Consider the following 23,845-nt stretch of genomic DNA (forward strand, 5'->3'; position numbering starts at 1 on the left):
GACTAAATCTGGGAAACCATGCCCACTGGAAAGAAAGGAAAGAGGGTATCTCCAACTCTCCCCACATGTGGCTGACCCCTGATCCACCCATGCATGGAATACACACAAAGCAACCTGGCTATTAACAAAATGGCTGCCACCCAAGATTCAAGCTGTCACCCAAGAAACATAGTGAATAGTTTGGGTCCAACCAAGATAAGTGCCTGTTAAAACTAAAGAAACTCAATATGCATTAAAGAAAACTAACAGAATCCGGCCGGGTGTGGTGACTCACACCTGTAATTCCAGCACTTTGGGAGGTGGAGGCAGGTGAATCACATGGTCAGGAGTTGGAGGCCAGCCTGGCCAAGATGATAAAGCCCCGTCTCTACTAAAAATACAAAAATTAGCTGGGTGCGGTGGCAGGCGCCTGTAATCCCAGCTACTTGGGAGGCTGAGGCAGGGGAATCACTTGAACCCAGGAGGCGGAGGTTGCAGTAAGCCGAGATCTCGCCACTGCACTCTAGCCTGGGTGACAGAGCAAGACTCCATCTCAAAAAAAAAAAAAAAAGAAAAGAAAAGAAAACTAACAGAATCCAGAGTCTCTGCCACTTAACATTCTCAATGTTCTGAATAAGATCTAAATTTACACTATGTGACAAATGTCTTACCTAAGACATTGTTAAAAGAAAATAAACTAAGACCAATCCTGGGATGACCCAGATGTTGGAATTAGCAGACAAGGATTTTAAAGAAGCCATTATAACTATCATCAGTAAAATAAAATATACTCGCAATGCATCAAAAAACGTGAAACCCCAGTAAAGAAATAGAAACAATAAAAAAGAATCAAATAGAAATTCTGGAACTGAAAAACACAATACATTGAATGAATTTAACAGCAAAGTGGAGGTGACAGAGGAAAAAACAAGTGAATATGAAGACAGATCAGTGGAAATTATCCAATGAGGACTAAAGAAAAAAGATTGAAGTAAAAATTAACAGATACTCAGGAATCTTTTAGCTAATACTGTACATATAATCAGAGTCCTAGAAGGGGAGAAAAGGGAGAATAGGGCAGTAGAACTATTTGAGAAAATAAACGCTGAGTATTTCCCAAATTTGGTGAAAGACATCCATTAATAGATTCAAGATACTCAACCAACACCAAGCAGGATAAATACAAAGAAGGTCAGCCAAGGTGCCTCACAGCCAAACTGTTGAAAACCAAAAATAAAAAGCAAATCTGAAACATCTACCAAAGAAAAGGACAATAGGATGATCCAATTGGCAGCTGACCTCTCAGCAGAAACTATGGAGGCCAGAAGACAGTGAAGCATCTTTCATGTGCTGAAAGAAAAAAATGATTAGCCTGGAATTCCTATATGCCACAAACAGATCATTCAAGAATGAAGGCAAAATGAAGAGAATTCATTGATATAAGAGACCTGCATCACAAGAAAGGTGAAAGGAAATTCTTCAAGCCAAAGAGAAATGACACCAGTTTGAAATCCAGATCCTTAAGAATAAAATGCATCAATAATGATAAATATTTGTGCAAATACAAAATACTTTTTTCCTCTTAATTTTTGTATAATATTCACACCTCTTTAAAGGAAAAGGCATAACACTGTCCTGTGGGATTTATATTCTACATAAATGTAATATATATAACAACTACAGCATAAAGAACAAGGTAGAGTGGGAGCAGAGGGAATATACACCTATATATTTATATGCTTTCTACATTTTATGTGAAATAGTATCATTATTATGTGTAAGGATACTGTGAAAAGTGAAGAATGTCTATTGTAATCTCTAGCAAAATCACTAAAAATACACCCAGGCATGCGAAAATGTACTCAGAAAAGATCAAGAGGAAAATTAAAATGGAATTATAAAAATATATTCAAAAAATAATTCAAAAAGAAAATATAGAAGAGGAACAGAAGAACAAAAAATAGAGGAAATAAATAGAAAACAAATGAAATGGCAGCCCCAAACCCAACTATATCAATAATTACCATAAACATTAATGGACTAATAATTACAAGTAAGAGACAAAAATTGAAGGAAGTATTTGTTTTTTTAAGGCAAGACCAATTTCTATGCCGTCCGCAAGAGCTAAACTTTATATATAAAGACACAGGTTGAAAGTAAATGGTTGGAAAAACGACATACTATGCGAAGAGTTAGCGTAAGTTTGTAGAGGGCTAATATCAGATAAAATAGGTTTTAAGATAAAGTTATTAAGAGAAATAAAAGAGGACATTTCCTAATGATAAGAATGTCAACTTATCAGAAAAACACAACAGTCAAATATGGATAGCCCCCATAATAGAGCCTCAAAAACACATGAAGCTGGAACACTATTTCACCAACAAAAGGGAATAAACTCCTGATACATGCTACACCACCAATGAATCTCAAAAACGTTATGTAAGTGAAGGAAGTCATACATAAAAGACCACATATTGTATGATTCCATTTACATGAAACATCCAGAAAAGGCAAATCTCTAAAGACAAAAAGTAGATTAGTAGTGACCTCAAATAAAACAGGAATTAACTGCCAGTCATGAGGGATCTTACTGGTGTGATGAAAATTTTCTAAAACTAGGTTACAGTACTGGTTACACAACTCAGCAAATTACTTAAAGAAAAAAAATCACTAACTGGATAGGTTTATGGCACGTAAATTATACCTCACCAAAGTTGTTTTTAAAAAGTCAAAAAATTCATAAAACAAAAATTGACAGAATTAAAAGGAGAAACAGAACAATCCCACAAAAATATTTTAATGCTCCTTTCTCAGCAACTGGTAGAAAAGCTAGTAGGGGGAAAGTCAACTAAGACATAAAGGATCTGAATAACTTTATCAACCAACATATCTAACTAACAATTATAGAATGCCACACCCAACAACTGCCAAATATTCTTTTCAACTAAGTAGTTCTCAACAGGGGAAATTTGGCTTCCAGGAGACATCTGACAATGTCTGGAAACATTTCTCAATGTTGTATCTTGGGAGATGCTACTGACATCTAGCAGGTAGAAGCCAGAGATGCTGCTTAACATCCTATAATGCACAGGGCTGTCCCCAACAACAAAGAATTATCTGATTCAGAATGTCAATAGTTCTGACACTAAGAGATCTTTCCTTTCCTTTCCTTTCCCTTCCCTTCCCTTCCCTTTTCCTTCCTTCCTTCCCTTCTTTCCTTCTTTGAGACGGAGTCTTGCTTTGTCACTCAGGCTGGAGTGCAGTGGTGCAATCTCAGCTCACTGCAACCTCCGCCACCTGAGTTCAAGTGATTCTTGTGCCTCAGCCTCCCAAGTAGCTGGAATTAGAGGCATGGGCCACCACACCCGTCTAATTTTTGTATTTTTCGTAGAGACAGGGTTTCACCATGTTGGCTAGGCTGGTCTCAAACTCCCAACCTCAGGTGATCCGCCCGCCTCAGCCTCCCAAAGTGCTAGGATTATAGGCATGAGCCACCGTGCCTGCCTGAGAGACCCTGTTTTCAAGGGCAGATGGTACATTTACCAGGACAGACCATGTGGAAGGACATAAGACATATCTCAATAAATTTAAAACTGAAATCTTACAGAATATATTCCCTAACCACAACAAAATTAGAAATCAATACTATTAGGATATATAAGAAAATCCCAAATATTTGGAAATTAAACAGCATACTTCTAATTAGTGTATGGATCAAATAAAAAAGATCACAGGAGAAATTAGAAAATATTTTGAACTAATGCCAAAGAAAACATACCATCAAAATTTGTAGCATGCAGCTAAACCAATGCTTAAAGGGAAATTTATAGCTTTATATCTGTATGCTAGTAAACAAAAGGGACCATTTTTCTACTTTAACTGCTATATCCTTAGTACCTAAAATAATTCCCAGCATTTAATAGGAAATAAATATTTACTAAATAAGTAATAACTGAACAGAAGACTGAACAAATGGAAAGATATCTAAATGACAACAGTGGCATCTGAGTGGCAGAATCATGACTTTTTTATTCATTTCTGTTTCTAATTTTTAAAAATAATCCACAGTATGTTCCTTAATTAGCAGAACTTTTTTCTTAACCTAAATGGCCCTTCTCTGAAATAAGAGGATTATAGCCAACTGAAACCATAAATAAATTAGATAGCTAGGATCTCATTCTACTTAAGCTCTTATACAAAGAAGGTAATAAAAACAAAAACATTTTGTCCTGTTGGATGCAAATCTTTTTCTGAACTTAATGGTTTTGGAGAGAAGGAGAAATGGAACAAATATAATTCATTAACTGAAAAAAGTCACTGTACCTCTCTCAATTCCAAATGCAAACTGCTACTAGAATTAGAGTGTGTGAAAGCACTGCTCAGAGGAATCACCCCTGCAGGGGCTATCAAAACATGGCGCAAAAGCTTTCCGTTTGGATTTTTCTCTCTCCTTGCCCTAGAATGACATAGTCAAAAGCAATTAATGATCAAATAATGTGGTTTTTTTGGGGTGGGGCGTGGAGGAAGGGTGTTGGTTTGGGGGTTCTGTGGGGTTTTTTTGTTGTTGTTGGGTTTTCTTGCTTCTCTCTCTTCTAAGAAAGCTGCCAGAAAAGAAAACCATTTTCTTCCCACACACAAGGATCTCATTCTGGTCTAACTGAAAATACAGCTTGTCTCCAAGGAAACATCTATCACTAAGAGACTCCAATACTCTTAGCAAGTACAAGCTATATCTTATTCTCCTTTCTTCTCCCTCAATTTTGAGCATGGAGGTCTCTCAAAAACTCTTAGTTTAAAAGCATAAAGAGACCTCATTTAATATTCTTTTTAAAGTAATTAACTACAAATCAGTTAGTAAAATAGATTACAGAAAGGGTATACCTTATAAATCATGAGCTTTGCTAAATTCTTAAGTAATTAAAATCATATTCAGGCCAGGCACAGTAGTGGCTCACGCCTATAATCCCAGTGCTTTGGATGGCTAAGGTGGGAGAATTACTTAAGGCCAGGAGTTCAAGACCAGCCTGGGCAACATAGTGAGGCCCAGACTCTACAAAAACACCTGTAATCCCAGCACTTTGGAAGGCTCAGGTGGGCAGATCATCTGAGGTCGGGATTTTAAGACCAGCCTGGCCAACATGGTGAAACCCTGTCTTTACTAAAAAATACAAAAATTAACCAGGCATGGTGGCAGGAGCCTATAATTCCAGCTATTCGGGAGGCTAAGGCAGCAAAAGCGCTTGAACCCAGGAAGCAGAGGTTGCAGTAAGCCAAGATCACGCCACTACACTCCAGCCTGGGTGACAGAGTGAGACTCCATCTAAAAAAAAAATCTTATTGAATAGCCAGGCATGGTGGTGTGCACTACTGTATTCCAGCCTGGGCAACAGAGAGAGACCCTAACTCTAAATAAATAAATAAATAAAGTCAGCTTCTAAATCCCCATATTCCTTTCTTGGGTTCAGTAGAAAAGGTGATGAGGTGGCTGTTCTGCACTGTTCAATCATGAGCCGAAAATGTGCTGGCTTTAAAAGGTACCCAATGGTGGGCTTTGGAAAAGTGCAACTACAACCAATTTGAATGAATCTCTGGAACTCAGAATCTCCACTGAGTATCACACCTCCCTCCATTACCCAGCCCTACTCCTATCTGCGAAAGCCTCAGAAACTCTACTGAATCAATTTGAACCTCTGCAAACAAAGCAATGAGGAGCTGTAAAATTGGTACTTAATAAAGCAGTTCTTAAAACAACCTTTTGGCTCCAGTAACAGATACAAACATGTTAAAGCCACTGAGAAGCACGGAAAAATCAGAGATTTGTAGAGCAAAAGCTCAGCTTAAATGGAAAGAGGGAAAATTAAAATAAACAGTGGCAAAATTAAGCTCCAACTGGGCTAACAAATCTTACGAACCAAACAAAAGAATAACCAAGGGAGCATGCAAGGCTACAGTGGAAAATCCCCAAGACCCAATTCTGAAGTGCCTTTATCAAGGTTATCTGGAAAAGTCAGCAATGAATTACCCCTTAAAATAGTCTCTCCAAGTCTATTGCAGAATGAAACTGTCTCCATAAATCCCTCAGTTGACATTTGCACTGCAATCATAAGCAACATTTACAAAGGGTGAGACCCAGGAAAAAAAAAAAAAAGAAAAAGAAAATCATTGTTTTCTGAAAGCATGAAGGCTGGCAAAAAGGTTTTCCAGGATTGAAGGAACTAGCAGCTGAGGCAGCAACAATGGCAAGGTGCCCCCAGGGGCAAATTTGCTGCTCAGGATCTAGTGCCATTTAATCCTACAGTGAGACTTCATAAACATGGGTCTTGGCAATTCTGACTGAAGCACCATCTAAAGGCTGTCTGCCCTAGGCAAAGGGTGTTACTCAAAAGAGGCTCCCTGTTTTTCATCCAGGTGAAGGAAATCTTTCCCATTTGGTCTTCTTGCACACTAAGTCCTCAACACTTTATAGTAACAGAAAAAGCCTGCAGGCTCTGTGTTTTCTTAGAAAGTACAGGGCTTTCTAACAATTAGAGCTTTCTAAAAATGGAATGCAACGCCTTGGGAGATTGATTCCCTGCCTCTGGACGGGGTCCATCAGATGCTGTTGACCAACTGGCTAGGATATCATAGAAGGGACTCAGCACTGGTAGAAAAAAAAGATTAAATGACTGCTAGGATCCCATCCAGTTGAAGGATCTAAGAAAATGGAGGTAATTATCCAAGTAACTCCAGAGAAAAAACACTCTTGCCTAAAATCATCTCATCATTTCAGGGGGAAGAAAAGTAGGCTTTTCAGATTGCCCCATTTTCCAGAAAGACATACCTGCACACTCATCTACTTCTACAAAGCAAGTATAAACAGCTGGAATCCCATTATAACAAATACTACAGTATCATCCAAAATTTTCAAAGGCATTTTTGGGCACAGGCTTCCCACTCAAGATAACCCTCCAGGAAATAACAAGCTAGGTAAAAGCTTTTGCAATATAAATACTTGACAATGCAATATTTGCATTTATTGGGGTCAGCTGACCTTTTCATAGAAAAACAACAACAACAACAACAACTACAGATGTGTCTGAGCCCATCTTCTGAGGCTTCCTGAAAATCCACATAGAGTAAAGATGGATTTAGCAACAGTGTTACTGTAGAGTCTGGTGCAGGTTTTCTAGCTACAAATGTAGGAACTGAAGCCCCCTTGTTCTGGTTTCCATATCATAAACTCATGAAGTAATCTGTTCTTCTTCTTCACGGCATCTTGCAATTATAATTACTTAACTAATTATTCATTTTGTCATTAAAGTCTGTCTCCATGCTGGAAGTTCTAGAAAGGCAGGGCTCTCACTGTACGCTCAGTGCTTCAGGCTTTTACATAGCAAATGTGGGAAAAAAACCCCACATATTTACTGAATAAAAGAATACTGTACAAAGCCACTAGATTAGCAAAAGTGAAGACATGAGAATAGCAGGGACAGATGATGTAGAGAAATGAAAGCACTCGCTCATATACTCAGTGTGTAAAGTGGTATAACCATTTTGGGAATTTGACACTTTCTAATGATGTTAATGAAAAGCATACCATATGACCTAACAGATTTACCTGATGTGCACATCCTAGAGAAAATGGGTTCAGGTGCACTAGAGTAAATGTATTAAAATGCTCATAGCTGCATTGTTCATATTGCCCCAAACTGGCAATAGCCAAATATCCAACAACAGTAAAATGAATTAGTAAACTGTGGCACATTCATGCAACAGAATACCATACAGCAATAAAAACGAATAAACTAAAGCATCATGCAACAACACAAATGAATCTCACAAGGGATACTGAGCAAAAGGCAAAACACAAAGGATACATATTTATATGTATCAAAATATCAAAAACAAGCCAAACTGAACTATATATTTCAGATATGCAAAAATAGGTCACCAGTTCTATCAAACATTCAAAGAACAGATAGATAAAAACTTATAGAAGCTCTTCCAAAGAAAAGAGAGAACTAATTTTACAGAATGTTGATAGCAAAACCAGACAAGTACAGTAGAGAGAGGAAAAGTTCAAGCCAATCTCAGCAATAAATATAGTGGCAAAAAAATCCTAAAAATCGTAGATCTCACAATCCAACAATGTATATAAAAGATAAAGCCCCAATTCAGTTTATTACAAAAATACAAAGTGGGGTCAACATTAGAAACTCTATTAATGTTACTGCACACTGTGGCTCACGTATGTAATCCCAGCACTTTGTGAGGCTGAGGTGGGCAGATCACCTGAGGTCAGGTGTTCAAGACCAGCCTGACCAACTTGGTAAAACCTCATCTCTACTAAAAATACAAAAATTAGCCGGGCGTGGTGGTGCACACCTGTAATCCAGGCTACTCCAGAGGCTGAGACAGGAGAATTGCTTGAACCTGGGACGCAGAGGTTGCAGTGAGCCAAGATCGTGTTACTACACTCCAGCCTGGGTAACAGAGCAAGAGTCTGTCTCACACACATAAAAAAAAAAAAACCTCTACTAATGTAACTAACTTACCACCACTTTAGAAACAATTTGGCACTACCTAGGAAATCTGAAGATGCACATGCCCTATGGCCAGCAATTCTGCTCCCAAAAGGATACCCCAGAGAGAATTTTGCCCATGGGGACCAGGAGATAGTTTGTAGCAGCACTGTCTACAAGCCAAAAACTAGACACACCATAGAAGAACAGAAAAACAAACTGCAGTATATTCCTACAATGGTATACTACAAAATGATAACAATGAATGAACCATGCTACAAGAAATGGCCAATTCTCAAAAATATTAATATAACCTTTAATGATAATAGCAAGTTTAGAAGAATACATGTATGTGATTTCATCTATATAAAAGCCATAAACATGCAGAACTAAGTAAATGTCTAGAAATACACATGCGTATGTATGTACAACTACAAAGAAAAGATAGTATTGACACACAAAATGGAAGACAGTGATCACCTCCTGGGCAAAGGATGAGACTGAGAGGAAAATTAAATTGCAAAGAAGTACACAGTGGGTTTCAAAGTTATTGTTAATGTTCCATTTTTTTATAGGTGTTGGGCATATGGATTTTTTAAACTATTCTTTAAAATGTATATGTGGCCTATATATAAACATACGTTATACACACACACATATACTTCTTTAAAAAAATGATATATTTCCTAATTTAAAAAATAATTTCAAGACTTACCAGTCTAGACCAGGCTTTACTATAAATCATTCCTCAATTCTACCTCATGAAATAAATCAAAATCTTTTCCCATAGCATATAGTTTTCTTCTTCAAGAAACATGACAAACATTTTCATTTATTTATTCACTCAACTATTTATTAATTATTATATGTCAAATACTCCTTGGGCACCAGAGAGAGAAGCAAGACCGACACTATCCCTGTCCTCATCAATCTTACAGTTTAGTAAGAAAGATAGATGCTGCATACGAAATACATATAGATAAATATATAAATACAACAAAGTGCTATCACAGAAAATTAGACTATTGTAAGATGATACAAGGTGACTTCATTAAGTTGGAAGTTCAGAGAAGGCCTCTCTCGGGTTTTAACACAAGTTGAAACCTGAAGAGGATTTAGTCAAGCAACAGGGGCAGGTGGTGTGCATTCCAGACAGAAAGTGGCATGTGCAAAGGACCTGAAGCAGGAAGGGATTTGAAAGGCTTGAGAAGCTACACTGAAGCTAGAGTAAGAAACAGAATGGCAAAGATGACCCTGCAGAGACAGACAGAGCCAGCTTACATAAGAATTTGTAGGCAGTGGTATTTTCAGTGAGACTGCAGGCCACTACTGTACTTTAGGTAGGAGAGTAACATGGAGGAAGGCCAGAGGAAAAAACAGAGAATCCAGTAGGAGTTACTACAGTAGTTTAGTTGAGACTGCCAGCCAAGAGTTGATGGGTGCCTGAGCCAGGATGGGAGTAGCAGGGAGGAAGAAAAGTATCTTAAGGGAGATAGAGCAGACAGGGAGTGGCAACAGAATAGATTTAAGAGGTGAGGTAAGGATGGTGAGAAGGAGTACACCCTTATTAAATGAAAAAGACTGAAAATCTGTCAATTGTCATATTTACAATATAGCCCTAATTTTGATGTTTAAACGTATACAAAGTTATTCTGAAAATAAACTGAATATCAAAAGGAATAAAAAACTATAATGGATTAAAACACATGAAATATGTTAAAATTCATGAGTTCATCACAAAATGGTAACACAAAAGACAGAGGGCGATAAAGTATATTAAAGGCTCTAACTGTTGGAAAAGTGGAAACAAAATGAAATAAGTCAAGGATGCATGTTGTAATCTCTAGAGCAACCTCTAAATGAATTTGGAAATGTAATACATTAGATGCCAAAAAAATGAAAAATATTTCATTGATCCAAAAGAAGAGAGAAAAATGAATATAAAATAGATTAATTAAATAAAAACAAAAAGTAGGGGCCAGGTGCAGTGGCTCACGCCTGTAATCCCAGCACTTTGGGAGCCCAAAGCAGGCAGATTACTTGAGGTCAGGAGTTCGAAACCAGCCTGGCCAACATGGTGAAATCCCATCTCTACTAAAAATACAAGAGTTAGCCAGGCGTGGTGGTGGGCGCCTGTAATCCCAGCTCCTGCTTAGGCAGGAGAATCACTTGAACCCGGGAGGCAGAGGTTGGAGCGAGCTGAGATCAAGCCACTGTACTCCAGCCTAGGCAGCAGAGCGAGATTCTGTTTCAAAAAAAATTAAAAAAATAAAATAAAAATAAAAACAAAGAGTAGGGTGGTAGAAACATACTGCCATTTTACCATACATGTTAAAGTACACCACAAGAATGTTTCCAGAATGTGGGAAATGCTATAGGACAAACACCCTGATTTCTTTAAAAAATAAATTGCAAGGTAAAAAGGGTGTGTTGGGGTTGGGGGGTTGGCGGGGAGGATTAGGATTGGCCAAAGTGTTAACAATCACTGATCCTGAATAATACACACATGGGAAATACCATACTACTGCCTCTACTTTTGTATTCATTTGAATTTTACTGGAATGTAAAGTAGAAAGGAACAGAGGGAAAATGGGAGGGAGAGAAGAAGAGAAAGCAATACAGAGACAGTGGCAGGGAGGGAAGATCTCTGGATACTTATTGGCATATTTATGTGCAGAAAGTGTTTTGACAGGATATATTTTTAAATGTTCAAGTGGTTATCTCTGGGCTAATGTGATCACAAATTTTAGAACGTTACAAATTCACCATCTCTGGGTGGGAAGATTACCGGTAACTTTTAGTCTCTTTTTGTTTAGCTGTGTTTTCTCATTGCTTCTACAATGGGTAAAACAGAATGCTTGACTCAAAAATTGTTTAAAAGCATGGAAGAAAGACTGCCAAAACCTAAAAACTTCTCCCTTTACATAGATGTTGATGTGTAAGTCTACATTTCTTAAACATTTCTGGGTCACAGCTCGCAATGGACTGAATGTCTGTGTCCTCCCAAAATTCATACTTTGAAACCCTCATCTCTAATAGGATGGTATTTGGAGATGGGCCTCTGGGAGGCAAACAGGTCATGAGGGTGGAGCCCTCATGATAAGATTTGTACCCTTATAAAAGGAGACCCGAGAGAGCTTGCTTTCTCTATCTCCACCAAGTGAGGACACAGCCAGAAGACAGCTGTCTGCAAGGCAGAAAGAAGGTCCTCACCAAGAACCTGACCCTGCTAGCACCTTCATCTGGGACTTTCAGCCTCCAGAACTGTGAGAAATGAATTTCTGTTGTTTAAGCAACTCATGAGGGATTGCGTTGTAGCAGACCAGACTAAGACACAGGCTCTTTGCAAAATCTGACAAAAGCTACTACCTCTCTTTCCAGAAAAATGCACAATCTTATAGAATTTTCCATACAATGTCAGGAAACTCTGAGATCCTTAATGAACCCATAGACTTTCTATGCTGTCAGTAGTAGTTATAATAAAAAATAATACCTGACATTTATTGCCTACTTGCCATGTGCCAAGCATGGCTCTAGGTGTCAACTCATTTAATCCTCCCACCAACCCTCCAAGATGGGCATTCTCATCATCCCTATTTTATAGATGAAGAAAGTGAGGACAGAGAAGATTAATAATTTGCACAGGTTCCACTAGCTAACAAGCAGAAAAGCCAGCATACAAACTTGGGCAGCCTGGCTCCAGAGCTCAGCTCTTAAGCAGCAAAATATGAGGCCACCCACAGAGTTGAAGTTAAACATGCCAAGAAAATATGACATCCTGAATCATGCTCTGGAGAACATGTCTTCAAATTCAATTAACATTATGTACCTACCATGTGTCAGACCCATCCAAACACATAAGCTCATCCAACCCTCAAAACAGTGCTGTAAGTAACTCGCCCCAAATACCCAGTTAACTGCTGTAAAAACAGGAGTCTAGCCTGTCTTCTGACTTCAAGTTCAACATACCACAGCTGACTGCCTCTAAACTGGGGTGATGGTCCTGTTCTACATCACACAAGACCTCCCCATGACCAAAATCTTTGCAAGGTAACTGGTTGACATCCAATTCAATAGATTAAATCTGTAGACCCCAAAATTTCCCCATGGTGTAAAGCAATTCAGCATTTGAGGAGATTTTCCTTTATTATTCAGCTTTGGCCTGCTGAGACATCCTGGATGGATATGTGCTTCCAAAAGTTTGTACTTGAGTTTCATATGCATAAATAGGATTATTTACATACACTGCAAATAACTGCTAAATGCTATAATACGACATTGCAATCACATGCAACATAGCGTACATAAATATGAACATGCGAGCTACATAAGAGCTCCCCTAGTACTTACAGTTTCACAGTTCAAGCATCGAGTTTCATTGGTAAGCGTTCCCTGAAAAATCTCATGGACCCAGGTGAGTTCTGGTTTATTATTTTCCGCAGGTTCGTTCATGTTGCCATTTTTTAATTTTCCATTTTGTTTTTCCTGTTTCTTCTCCTCCTGAAGGATGTCCGCAATAGTGTTTAGCAAATAATTTAAAAATTCATGAGCATCCTGCTGCATGTAGTTATCAAAGAGATCTGGAAAGGAGAAGGTGGTTATTTCAGTCTCTGGTTCTTGAAAAGCAAATGGATGTAATTAGTGTTACATGCCATACTTAAATATTTTTTTTTTGAGATGGAGTCTCGCTGTGTCGCCAGGCTAGAGCGTAGTGGCATGATCTCAGTTCACTGCAACCTCTGCCTCCCAGGTTCAAGCAATTCTCCTGCCTCAGCCTCTTGAGTAGCTGGACTACAGGTGCATGCCACCACACCCAGCTAGCTAATTTTTGTATTTTTAGTAGAGACCAGGTTCACCATGTTGGCCAGGATGGTCTCAATCTCTTGACCTTGTGATTTGCCCACCCTGGCCTCCCAAAGTGCCGGGATTACAGACGTGAGCCACCGCGCCTGGCCCATACTTCAACTTTTATATTGAAAGGATGGACAGGTATGGAATATAAATATACTCATCTCTACCAGGCAGCTTCAATGAGTAAGTTTCCAAAGAGCTTTTTTAATTCATTTCCATTTTCTGCCATGCACCAAGAACAAAATTTCCCGTATCTCCCTAAAGTCATCACATTTATATAAAACTACCAAAAGTTCTATTTGTTCTACAAAGGAACAGAAGTTATCAGATAAGTTCCCTGATAAAATATCAATTTTTAATATGATGTAACTACCAATGATCAATTAATTATTCATTGGGTAATTTATTCAGAGCAACTGGGGTGTCCTCCCAAAGATCATATTAAACCCTGGACCAGCCTGGAAGCAGCTTAGATGAAACACAGAAGGGAGATGAGGGTATGTGTGAGCAAGCATCTATCTGATAGTGTTCCGAAACCAAATACAAATGATTCCAGAAGCCTAGTGCTGCTCCCTGCCATAAGGACAAACAATCAGAGATGAATGCAGCTGTGAACCTTCATTATTAATCACGTTCACAACTCGACAGAGTGCTCTGCTTCCTTCTCCACTGAAATTAGTTTTAATCTGGTATGTATAAACTGTAACTTCAAAATACAGCAATCAAATTAAAAGAGACTTTATAAAACAAATACCTGATTAACCATGCACGTCTGATGAAGTAAGGCTGAATCTAAGATAAATAGTAATTGCCATAACAAATATCTTTATAGTCATAAAAACTGCCAATACAAAACTTCTGGAATACACACCTAGTTTCTACTACCAATCCCCCAGAAGAAGAAGATAGAAAAACCAGAAAAATCAGGACTTTTAAAAACCATATAAAGCAATCAATTTGATATCCTTCAATTACCTCAGGCAAATGAAAATCAGAGGTATTGTATTTAAAACAGCAGAGGCTCTGATTAGATAACAGGCACTTATTTTAATCACCTATGACAAGTTTATAAGCCAGTACTATTTTATTTAATTATTGCATCAACCAATTTAGGCCAATGAGTATCCCACTCCGAAGGCTGCCTTGGACACTATTCTCTCTTACAATGATCCTGCCCAGAATGGAGCAAATAAAATGGTCATTCTAAATTGGAATAATAAATGTGCGTTTTTAAGCATGTTTCTAACCCAGTTTTGTTTTAAGTTTACTGGGCAGAGAAGAAATGTTGTTTCTTAAAAAATGACACCGAGTAGTTAACCATGCTTATTTTCCCTTTTCAAAAAAATGCCAGCTCTTCCTTTTGAGGAGATACAGAACCATCAATTCTCCTTATTTCAGAGGCTTAAATACATTATACTGCATACTACTCACCATTCTCTTTTCTCAGCCTTGAAATGAACTTCTTTGGTGGGATGACGCCAACCTTCTTCTTCTGTGTGGCAATGCTGTGGAAAAGGTCCGCCAGGCACGTCAGCAAGTTTTCCTTCTTCTTTTGCTGGGCCTTGTATGCCAACACATTCTCCCGGAATGGACGGCAGAAGTACAATGCCTGAAGCACGGAGTTACAGTAGCATGTGTTTCCAAACTGCCAAGGGACAAGAGGGATGGCTCAAGTCATTGCCTGGGGATGAGCCACCTCTGGAATAAGTGGTGAGGGTGAGAAGGTCCCTGCTCCGTGAACTGGCCTGGATGTCCCTGTATTGGAGTCCAGCTCACCATATTAGAAAACTAGTTAACTACTCTAAACACCAGTGACCATCTGATCCACAGAGAAATGAAGAAAAATGCACATCATTCCGGTGCTTCTCTAGCCCATCAAAGTCTCTAAAATGATAATAAGCACTCTACCTCAATAAAGAGTCTAACGAGACCTGCTGGTGCTTAAAAAACAGAGAAAGAGAAGGGGAAAAAAATCTACATACTGTGGAGACCCAGGAAAGCAGCTGGCTAAATAAAAGATGCACATTGCAACATATCAAAACTCCCATGACAGGGAAAATAAAAATATGAATCAAAAAGAAATCCAGTAATTAGGAACCACTTGCTCGGCTGAAACAGCCTAAACTGAACAGGGGCTGGTTTTCATTTTTCAATATTCCAGTACTCCTGCCCACTGGCTCAGACCACATTTCCTCACTTAACCCCGAGCAACACAGCAACGCAGGCAAAAATATGCTGCCTCATGTCACTCTCCCAGCTTCCCACCCTCTGGACTTCTAAATGGCCCTTGATCTTGCTTCTGCCAAGGCGGCAATTGTGCCAATGCAATACTACCCAAGTTCCTAGCCTGCAATCACATTAGGGCCCACCCAGTAACATTTTATACCTCTCACAAAGCATGGATACTGAGATTATTATTAAAGAGGGAAAACGTCTCACTGATTTTCTACTGACTATAAGACCACCTCTGTAGAAGAACACAGCTGAGACTATCACTTTAGAATTTGTTGTGCACAATAAAATTTAAAGAAAAAAATTCTAAGGAAATAACTAACAAGATTAATAACACAGATTATGAAATGCTATGTAAGATTAAAATAGAACATGAACACCTTCTCAAAACTGGTTGTTGGCTTGTGTGTCGTTTACCCAAGAGCGAGACAGATGCTCTGCCATACTTAACATGACATTTCTATGTATGCTAAGATAGAAGGCTTCCTATTTTTATATTTTAATCTACTTTGACACAATTATGTAACAGGAGACAAACCTCTTTGTACAGAGAAGCTGGAACTTTCATAAATTACCATTCAAAGGGAACATAAATGAAGCTATTAATAAACACAGATCCCACAAACCTTACACAAACTAGGAAATGGCCTTAATTCTTTCTCTTTTTTCTCTCTCTCCACTATCTGCATTTGTATTTTTCTTAGCCAGGGCAGAATCCCCATGCCTTGAATAACTCACTTCACAGGGCTAAGCAGAGGCCTGTGCAAAATGGCTAAAAAGTTTGTTTTAAAATCATAAGTCAGTATTTCACCAACACAATGCCCTATATTCCAGGGCTTAGCTTTCCTCCTTCCATTTTTTCCTCTCTTACTCAGTATCTCACCTTTCCCCAGACACCCTTCAGTAACGCTTGGCCCCAATTCAGTGGACAACTCCTGGGAAGGGAAAGGAACGAACATTTACCGAGTGTCCACAGTATGTCTCAGCTTCATGTCAGGGTTTTAAATAGGCGCTCTCATTTACCCTTCATTATCACCCAAAGGGTAGAAGCCATTATGACCCCCACTTTACAGATGGGGAAATGGAGGCTCAGAGAGTGCAAGTGACTTGCCCAAGATCACACAAGCTAGGGAGTAGCACAGGCAGAATTCAAACCGAGGTCTGTATTACATTAAAGCCAATGTTCTTCCTATTATATCATGGGCAGCATTTACTTGCAGAGAATTATTTCCAACTTTCCCAGTGGAAATTACTACTTACCACACCTGGGCATTGACAGACTACGTTCAGCATAATTATTCAGAAAACCAATTGTTTTTGAGTTAATATTTGATGTCACTTAACACCTACATCCCAGAGAAAAAGGATCAAGTGAAGAAGAAAGCTCACGAGGATGGAGGGCACACCGCCTCTACCGTGTTACTACTCCGTTATCATTAACCTGCCAAGGAAGCAGAGCTGCTGGGTCCAGCCTTCTACAAAGGAGGTTACTGCTGAGTGCAAAAAAAATGAGGCCAGGAATTCTGAGATAAAATGGTCCCAGTTTTCTCTCCCAACCTGTCCTGCTTCAGGTACACCAGCAAGTTACACTGTTAAAGAAAGACACTGGCAATGTGCTGGTAATGTTTTTAAAACACTGGTTGTACTGATGCATACTTAAACAAAGACTGGCTGAACAGTTCATCCAAATGACACAGGCAGAACATATAAAAGCAGATTTCGGGCCTGGTGCAGTGGCTCACACCTGTAATCCCCACACTTTGGGAGGCCGAAGCAGGTGGATCACCTGAGGTCTGGAGCTCTGGCCAACATGGCAAAACCCTGTCTCTACTAAAAAATTAGCTGGGCATGGTGGCGCATGCCTGTAATCCCAGCTACTCGGGAGGCTGAGGTAGGAGATCGCTTGAACACACGAGGTGGAGGTTGCAGTGAGTCAAGATTGTGCCATTGCACTCCAACCTGAGCGACAGAGCAAGACTCTGTCTCAAAAAAAAAAAAAAAAAAAGAAAAAATCAGATTTGGCTACAAAGACTAATGAAATTATTATGAAAGTTATGTGTGCAAAGGAAATTCCTTAAAGCATGGGGGGAAAATGTAAATTTGACCCAAAATGCAATAATTAAATGTTTTTTGCTGGGACAACTCATACTTTCAAAAATAGGTTAAGTTGCTTTCTCCCCAATATTGGCATTCTACTAACTACGGAGCATGACCAATCATTTAAAAATTGGTAGTGATAAAAATGCACTTAAAGTGGAGTTGCTTCATATACCCTAAAACATTTGATGAAAATAATACATTTTACATACTTACATTGACCAATCCGAAATAGTGTTCATTGATTGGAAACTGCTCTGGACCAATGTCTTTTTCCAGAGCAGAGGCATTGGTGCCCTAAAAGAGAAAAATAGCAAAAGTTCTGTTGCATGTAAAATAGACAAAAAGTAAAATCATACCTAAAAGAGTCTACTATTGAGACAAGCATCTTCCCTGGTCAACACGGTATTTGTTGATGTTTGCACTGAAGAAAAATGTGTCAGAAGTAAAGCAGAAGAGTAGTTAATAATGTCAGCCTTATTCTTCTTCTCATTCAACTTATTCATCCCCTAAAACCTACTCTACTTGACTTCAATTTTCTATTTAGAAAAGAAAGTTTGAGACAGGCAAATGAACAAACAATCGCCAAGAACTTCTGAATAAAACACGGGCATTTCAAACAGCTACAGCAGCTTTTGTAATATTTGATGGCATACAGAATCATATTACCACTATCAAAGTCAATGTATTCATTTTAATAAAGATTTACTGAGCACCCACTAAGCCAGACACACTGTTCTCTAGGTCTGGGCATGGATAACAGAACAGTGAGCTAAACACACAATGCCTGCTCTCATGGATTTCACATTTTAGCAGATGAAGACAGACTGAAAGGAAAAGTGTGTTGGAGAGTTTATTTAAAAATAATAGTGCAGGGGCTGGGTGCAGTGTCTCATGCCTATAATCCCAGCACTTTGGGAGGCCGAGGTGAGCGGATCACTTGAGGTCAGGAGTTTCAAACCAGCCTAGCCAACATGGTAAAATCCCATCTCTACTAAAAATACAAAAATTAGCCAGGTGTGGTGGCAGGCATCTGTAATCCCAGCTACTCGGGAGGCTGAGACATGAGAACTGCTTGAACCTGGGGGCTGGAGGTTGCAGTGAGCCAAGATTGTGCCACTGCACTCCAGCCTGGGTACAGAATGAGACTCCATTGGAAAGGGAAGGCAAGGGAAGGGGAAGGGGAAGGGGAAGGGGAAAGGGAAGGGGAAGAAGGGGAAAGAGAGGTAAGTGAGGTAAGTACTACTACTATCCCCATTGCACGGACAAGGAACTTAAGACTCAGAAGCATTTAAGAATCCACCCAAGGTCCATTGTAAGTGGTAGAGCTAGGATTTGAACCTAAGAGGCAGACTTGAGAGTCCACAATCATAAGCAAATGCTGTGCAGAGCAATTCTACTATTAAACCTTTTGTTGAGCCCCACTAAGGGTCAGTTACTGGCAAATGATTATCAGCACTCCCTAAGACCTGAATGAGTCTTCTAGGATTAGGAAAAGTGACCCATGTTCAGTCCAATAAGGTAAGTAGTTTGGGAAGCAAGTAAAATAAGGCTCCATTTGTACCATGGACTCTATCATCATTCTAGAGAAGGCTCTGTCTACCTTCACAGGCCATCATGGAAGACTAACAGCTCACAGAAACTCAAGACTTAAGAGACAGGTATTTTTAAATGAATAAGAAAAAAGTTTTGGCCGGACATGGTGGCTCACACCTGTAATTCCAGCACTTTGGGAGGCTGAGGTGGGCAGATCCCTTGAGCCTCAGTGGTTCGAGACCAGCCTGGGCAACATGGTAAAATCCTGTCTCTACAAAAAATATAAAACTTAGCAGGTAGCACAAACCTGTAGTGCCAGCTACTCAAGAGGCTGAGGTGGAAGGAGCCTGGGGAGGTGGAGGCTGTGCAGTGAGCTGTGATGGCACCACTGCACTCCAGCCTGGGCAACAGAGTGATACCCTGTCTCAAGAAGGAAAAGAACAGAACAGAACAGAAAAAAAAAGAAAAGACAAGAGAAGACAAGACAGAGAAAGAAAAGGAAGGAAGGAAGGAAGGGAAAGAGAAAGAAAGAAAGAGAAAGAAAGAAAGAAAGAAAGAAAGAAAGAAAGAAAGAAAGAAAGAAAGAAAGAAAGAAAGAAAGAAAAGAAAAGAAAGAAAGAAAGAAAGAAAGAAAGAAAGAAAGAAAAAGAAAGGTAAGTTTCATTTTTAAAAATTGATCTGCTGCTACTACTTATTTTGGACTCACAACTGGCATCTCCTCTCACAGAAAGAAATGACCAAAACGTAACTGAGAACTAGTTGAAATGGCCACTTGTCCCTAAGCAAACATTAAATGCAAAATGACCCTCCTCGGACCACAGAACTACAGTAGAAATGGCACACAGCCTCCCCTCATCATAACATCCTTCAAATTCCACTTGTTTCCTAGGTCCTTAATACTGTTGCACCAAACGAATAACTCCCTTTACCTGTCATGTGAGACTTACAGTTCAAGGATCATTTGCATCTAGGATAGTTTCCATGTCTTTTCATTAGTATGGGGGAGTTGGGGAGTGCTCACTGCCTTCACAATAATGTGACACTATATACAAGGCTGAATTTTTGAAATAACACAGCAAATTATGGTAGGACTTTTTGGTATAGACAAAAATCACTAAAAATTTTCAATAAAGTTATATCTCAAGCATAAATCAATGTAAATAATGCATATTAAATATACCCCCATAACCATTCTTCAAGCAAAATTAGGATATATGGCTTAGAGCCCGGGAGGAATGTCAGATATAAAAGTATAGCACATGGAGAGAGATACCATTAAATCTTTCTTTATGATGTAGGAACATATTCAAGTTATGGAAATTCTTAGGTTCGGTGTGCTTTTTCTACCTATCTTAATATTTTCCCATTTTGGGAGATGGGAACCTGGAGGTGATGACTCATACTAAGGATGGCAACCCAGGGGTCAGTGTTCAAGAGAAATATGCTGGAGACAGAGGCCTGGCCCACTCAGGCAGGAGGCTGAGTGTACCACAGCACAACACAGCACAGCACAGGACAGGACAAAACAGCACAGCGAAAAATCAAAGTGAGCTCTCTGTGCTTTCAGTGAAAACTGGCTCTACTCTGAGGCCAACACTTCCTCAACACCCCTCAGGTTAAGCTTGCTTGGATCTGCAAGGGTCATGAGGAGAAGTTGGCTGGGCCCTGATCCTTGGCGCTGCTTCTAGACCATGACACCCTTACCCTCTTGTAAAAACATTTTCGTGTCTTTTTTCTTTTTTTTTTTTTGAGACGCAGTCTCGCTGTGTCCCCAGGCTGAAGTGCACTGGCTTGATCTCGGCTCACTGCAACCTCTACCCCCTGGGTTCAAACAATTCTCCTGGGCCAGGCATGGTGGCTCACGCCTGTAATCCCAGCACTTTGGGACACTGAGGTGGGCAGATTGCCTAAGGTCAGGAGTTTGAGCCCAGCCTGGCCAACATGGTAAAACCCTGTCTCTACTAAAAATACAAAAATTGACCGGTTGTGGTGGCAGCCGCCTGTAATCCCAGCTACTCAGGAGGCTGAGGCAGGAGAATCACTTGAACCCAGGAGGCGGAGGTTGCAGTGAGCTGAGATCACGCCATTGCACTCCAGCCTGGGCGACAAGAGCGAGACTTTGTCTCAAAAAAAAAAAAAAAAAAAATTCTCCTGCCTCAGCCTCCTGAGTAGCTGGGATTACAGGCATTCGCCACCATGCCCAGCTAATTTTTGTATTTTTACTAGAGATGGGGTTTCACCATGTTGGCCAGGCTGGTCTCAAACTCCTGACCTCAAGTGATCCACCTGCCTCGGCCTCCCAAAGTGCTGGGATTACAGGCATGAGCCGCCACGCCCAGCCAAAACATCTCCCTTTCTGAGATCTATGCCTCCCACCACTGTGAAGCTCCTTCCTTGACCCTTGTCTTGGCTGACCCGACTCATGGAAGACCTACAATTATACTACAACTCTTGGTATCATCCCAGGTGATTTCAACACCCATGTGGATGGATGAGCCATCCCACCCATGCTCTCGCAGCAACTTGATGTCCTATTTTTCAATTGTCTTTTATTTCACTCCACTTTTTAAAATTCCATTCCACTTCAGCTACCCCTCCCATAGACACCCTGGATCTGGCCATCACCCTGAAATCCTCAAATGCAACTGCCCACAGTCTACCCAAACTCAGCTGTCAGCTGGCTGCTTCTACTTCTTCTTTTTTTTTTTTTTTTTGCCTCCTTATACCCTCCAGGCAATGTTACCACTGGCTTCTTTTAAGCCCACCATCACAGCCACATCTACATCTCTCCAGAACCTCTAGTCCTCTACTTTCTCATTCAACTTTGAGTATATGGATAACGGATCCAGCTGCTCTTCTAAATAGCCCTCACCCTGCCCTTTGGCCATACGATCTGGCAAGAAAGCCAAGCCAGTGTAAACCAAACATTTTCCTCTCTGAACATACACCCAGACAAATGTGCAATGCTAGATGGAAAAAAAGGTCAAACAACCAAGCCGACTAGATTCACTGGAATGCCCCCATTTCAAGTGGCCCACAACAGGTCCCACATTTCAGGGTTTCTCCAGTGCATTCACTCTCCACTCCATAGTGCTCATTTCCAATGGTCCCCAAGTTCCTCAAAACCTCGCCATCCCCTTGACCCTTCTCACTGGCCTTCCACTCAACAGAAAAAAACCATTAACTATTAGACAGGGACTCCCCCAACTTCCTACATGCCTCTTTCTTTCTTGCTAATGACAGAGAGATCTCTCTTGTCCAAGGGCAATCTCTCCTCCTCTATCAGATCCTTCCCGTCAGCATTTAAACATGCTTCAGCATCTCCCATATCAAAAATACACACACCCACACTGCCCCAAACATCACCTCCAGTTACCCTCCTCCTCACTTCCCCCTCAGAGCTAAACTTTCTTAAACAACTGTTTATTCTGAAACATTTATGGATGAATCAGATGATTTCTGAGATGGGTTTCAAACAAGCTGGTGGTGAGGTGGGGAGAAGTGGGGGTGGAGGATAAAGCTGTGTTGTTGAAGTTGAGTGATGGGTGTGTAGGGGTTCACTGTGCTTTCTGTTTATTTTTCACATCGATGTATATAGGCAGAATAGTAGTCCCCCTAACCTCCATAACTAGAAAATACATGACCTGACATGGCAAAAGGAAATTCAGGCTGTAGATGGAATTAATTTGCTAACCCAGTGACCTTACAATAGGGAGATTGTCCTGGATTCTCCAGGTAGGCCCAATGGGGTCAATCACAAGGGTCCTTCCAAGTGAGAGACAGAAGCAGAAGAGATCAGAGTGAGGCAATGTGTGAGGTCTCAGCTCACCCTCACTGGCTTTGAAGATGGAGGAAGAGGCCAGAGGCAAGCAAGGTAGGCAGCCTTTGGAAACCAGGAAAGGCAAGGAAATGGGTCTCCTTACAGCCTCCCAGAAGAACACAGCCTGGTACCACCTTGATTTTAGCCCGGTGAGACCCATTTCAGACTTCTGACCTCCAGAACTGTAAGATCATAAATGTATATTATTTAAGACACTAAGTTGGCCAGGCGCGGTGGCTCACGTCTGTAATCCTAGCACTTTGGGAGGCCAAGGCAGGCAGATCACAAGGTCAGGAGTTCAAGACCAGCCTGGCCAATATGGTGAAACCCCATCTCTAGTAAAAATACAAAAATTAGCCGGGCATGATAGCAGGCACCTGTAGTCCCAGCTACTTGGGAGGCTGAGGCGGGAGAATTGCTTGAACCCAGGAGGCAGAGGTTGCAGTGAGCCAAGATGGTGCCACTGCACTCCAGCCTGGGTGACAGAGTAAGACTCTGTCTCAAAAAAAAAAAAAAAAAAAAAAAAGACACTAAGTTAATGGTAATTTGTTACAGCAATAATAGTAAATTAATACAAAATGTCTCAGGTGTTCCATAATAAAATCTTTTTTTTTTTCTTTTTATGAGACAGGGTCTCACTCTATTGCCCAGACTGCAGTGCATGGGTGTGATCTTGGCTCACTGCAGCCTTGACCTCCCAGGCTCAAGCGATCCTCCCACCTCAGCCTTCCAAGTAGCTGGGACTTACAGGTGCATAACCCACACCCAGATAATTTTTGTATTTTTTTGTAGGGACAGGGTTTTCCATGTTGCTCAGGCTAGTCTCAAA

At 40.2% G+C, this 23,845-nt stretch overlaps 1 protein-coding gene across 5 annotated transcripts in view; it reads right to left on the bottom strand.

Annotated features, from left to right (window-relative positions):
• The window catches only part of USP46 (ubiquitin specific peptidase 46), a 68,342-nt gene that overhangs the window by 22,228 nt on the left and 22,269 nt on the right, over positions 1-23,845 (bottom strand). For 4 of the 5 annotated variants that reach the window (NM_022832.4, NM_001286768.2, XM_047416088.1 and 1 more), the window contains 3 exons: positions 17,877-17,957; positions 14,763-14,976; positions 12,831-13,060 (listed from right to left, as the gene is read on the bottom strand). In NM_022832.4, the coding sequence (NP_073743.2) occupies positions 12,831-13,060; positions 14,763-14,976; positions 17,877-17,957 (525 nt within the window). The remainder of the gene's footprint in view (positions 1-12,830; positions 13,061-14,762; positions 14,977-17,876; positions 17,958-23,845) is intronic. The other variant, NM_001286767.2, reaches the window with a different exon arrangement.

Source organism: Homo sapiens, chromosome 4 (genome assembly GCF_000001405.40).
Source record: "Homo sapiens chromosome 4, GRCh38.p14 Primary Assembly".
NCBI classification, from domain to species: domain Eukaryota; kingdom Metazoa; phylum Chordata; class Mammalia; order Primates; family Hominidae; genus Homo; species Homo sapiens.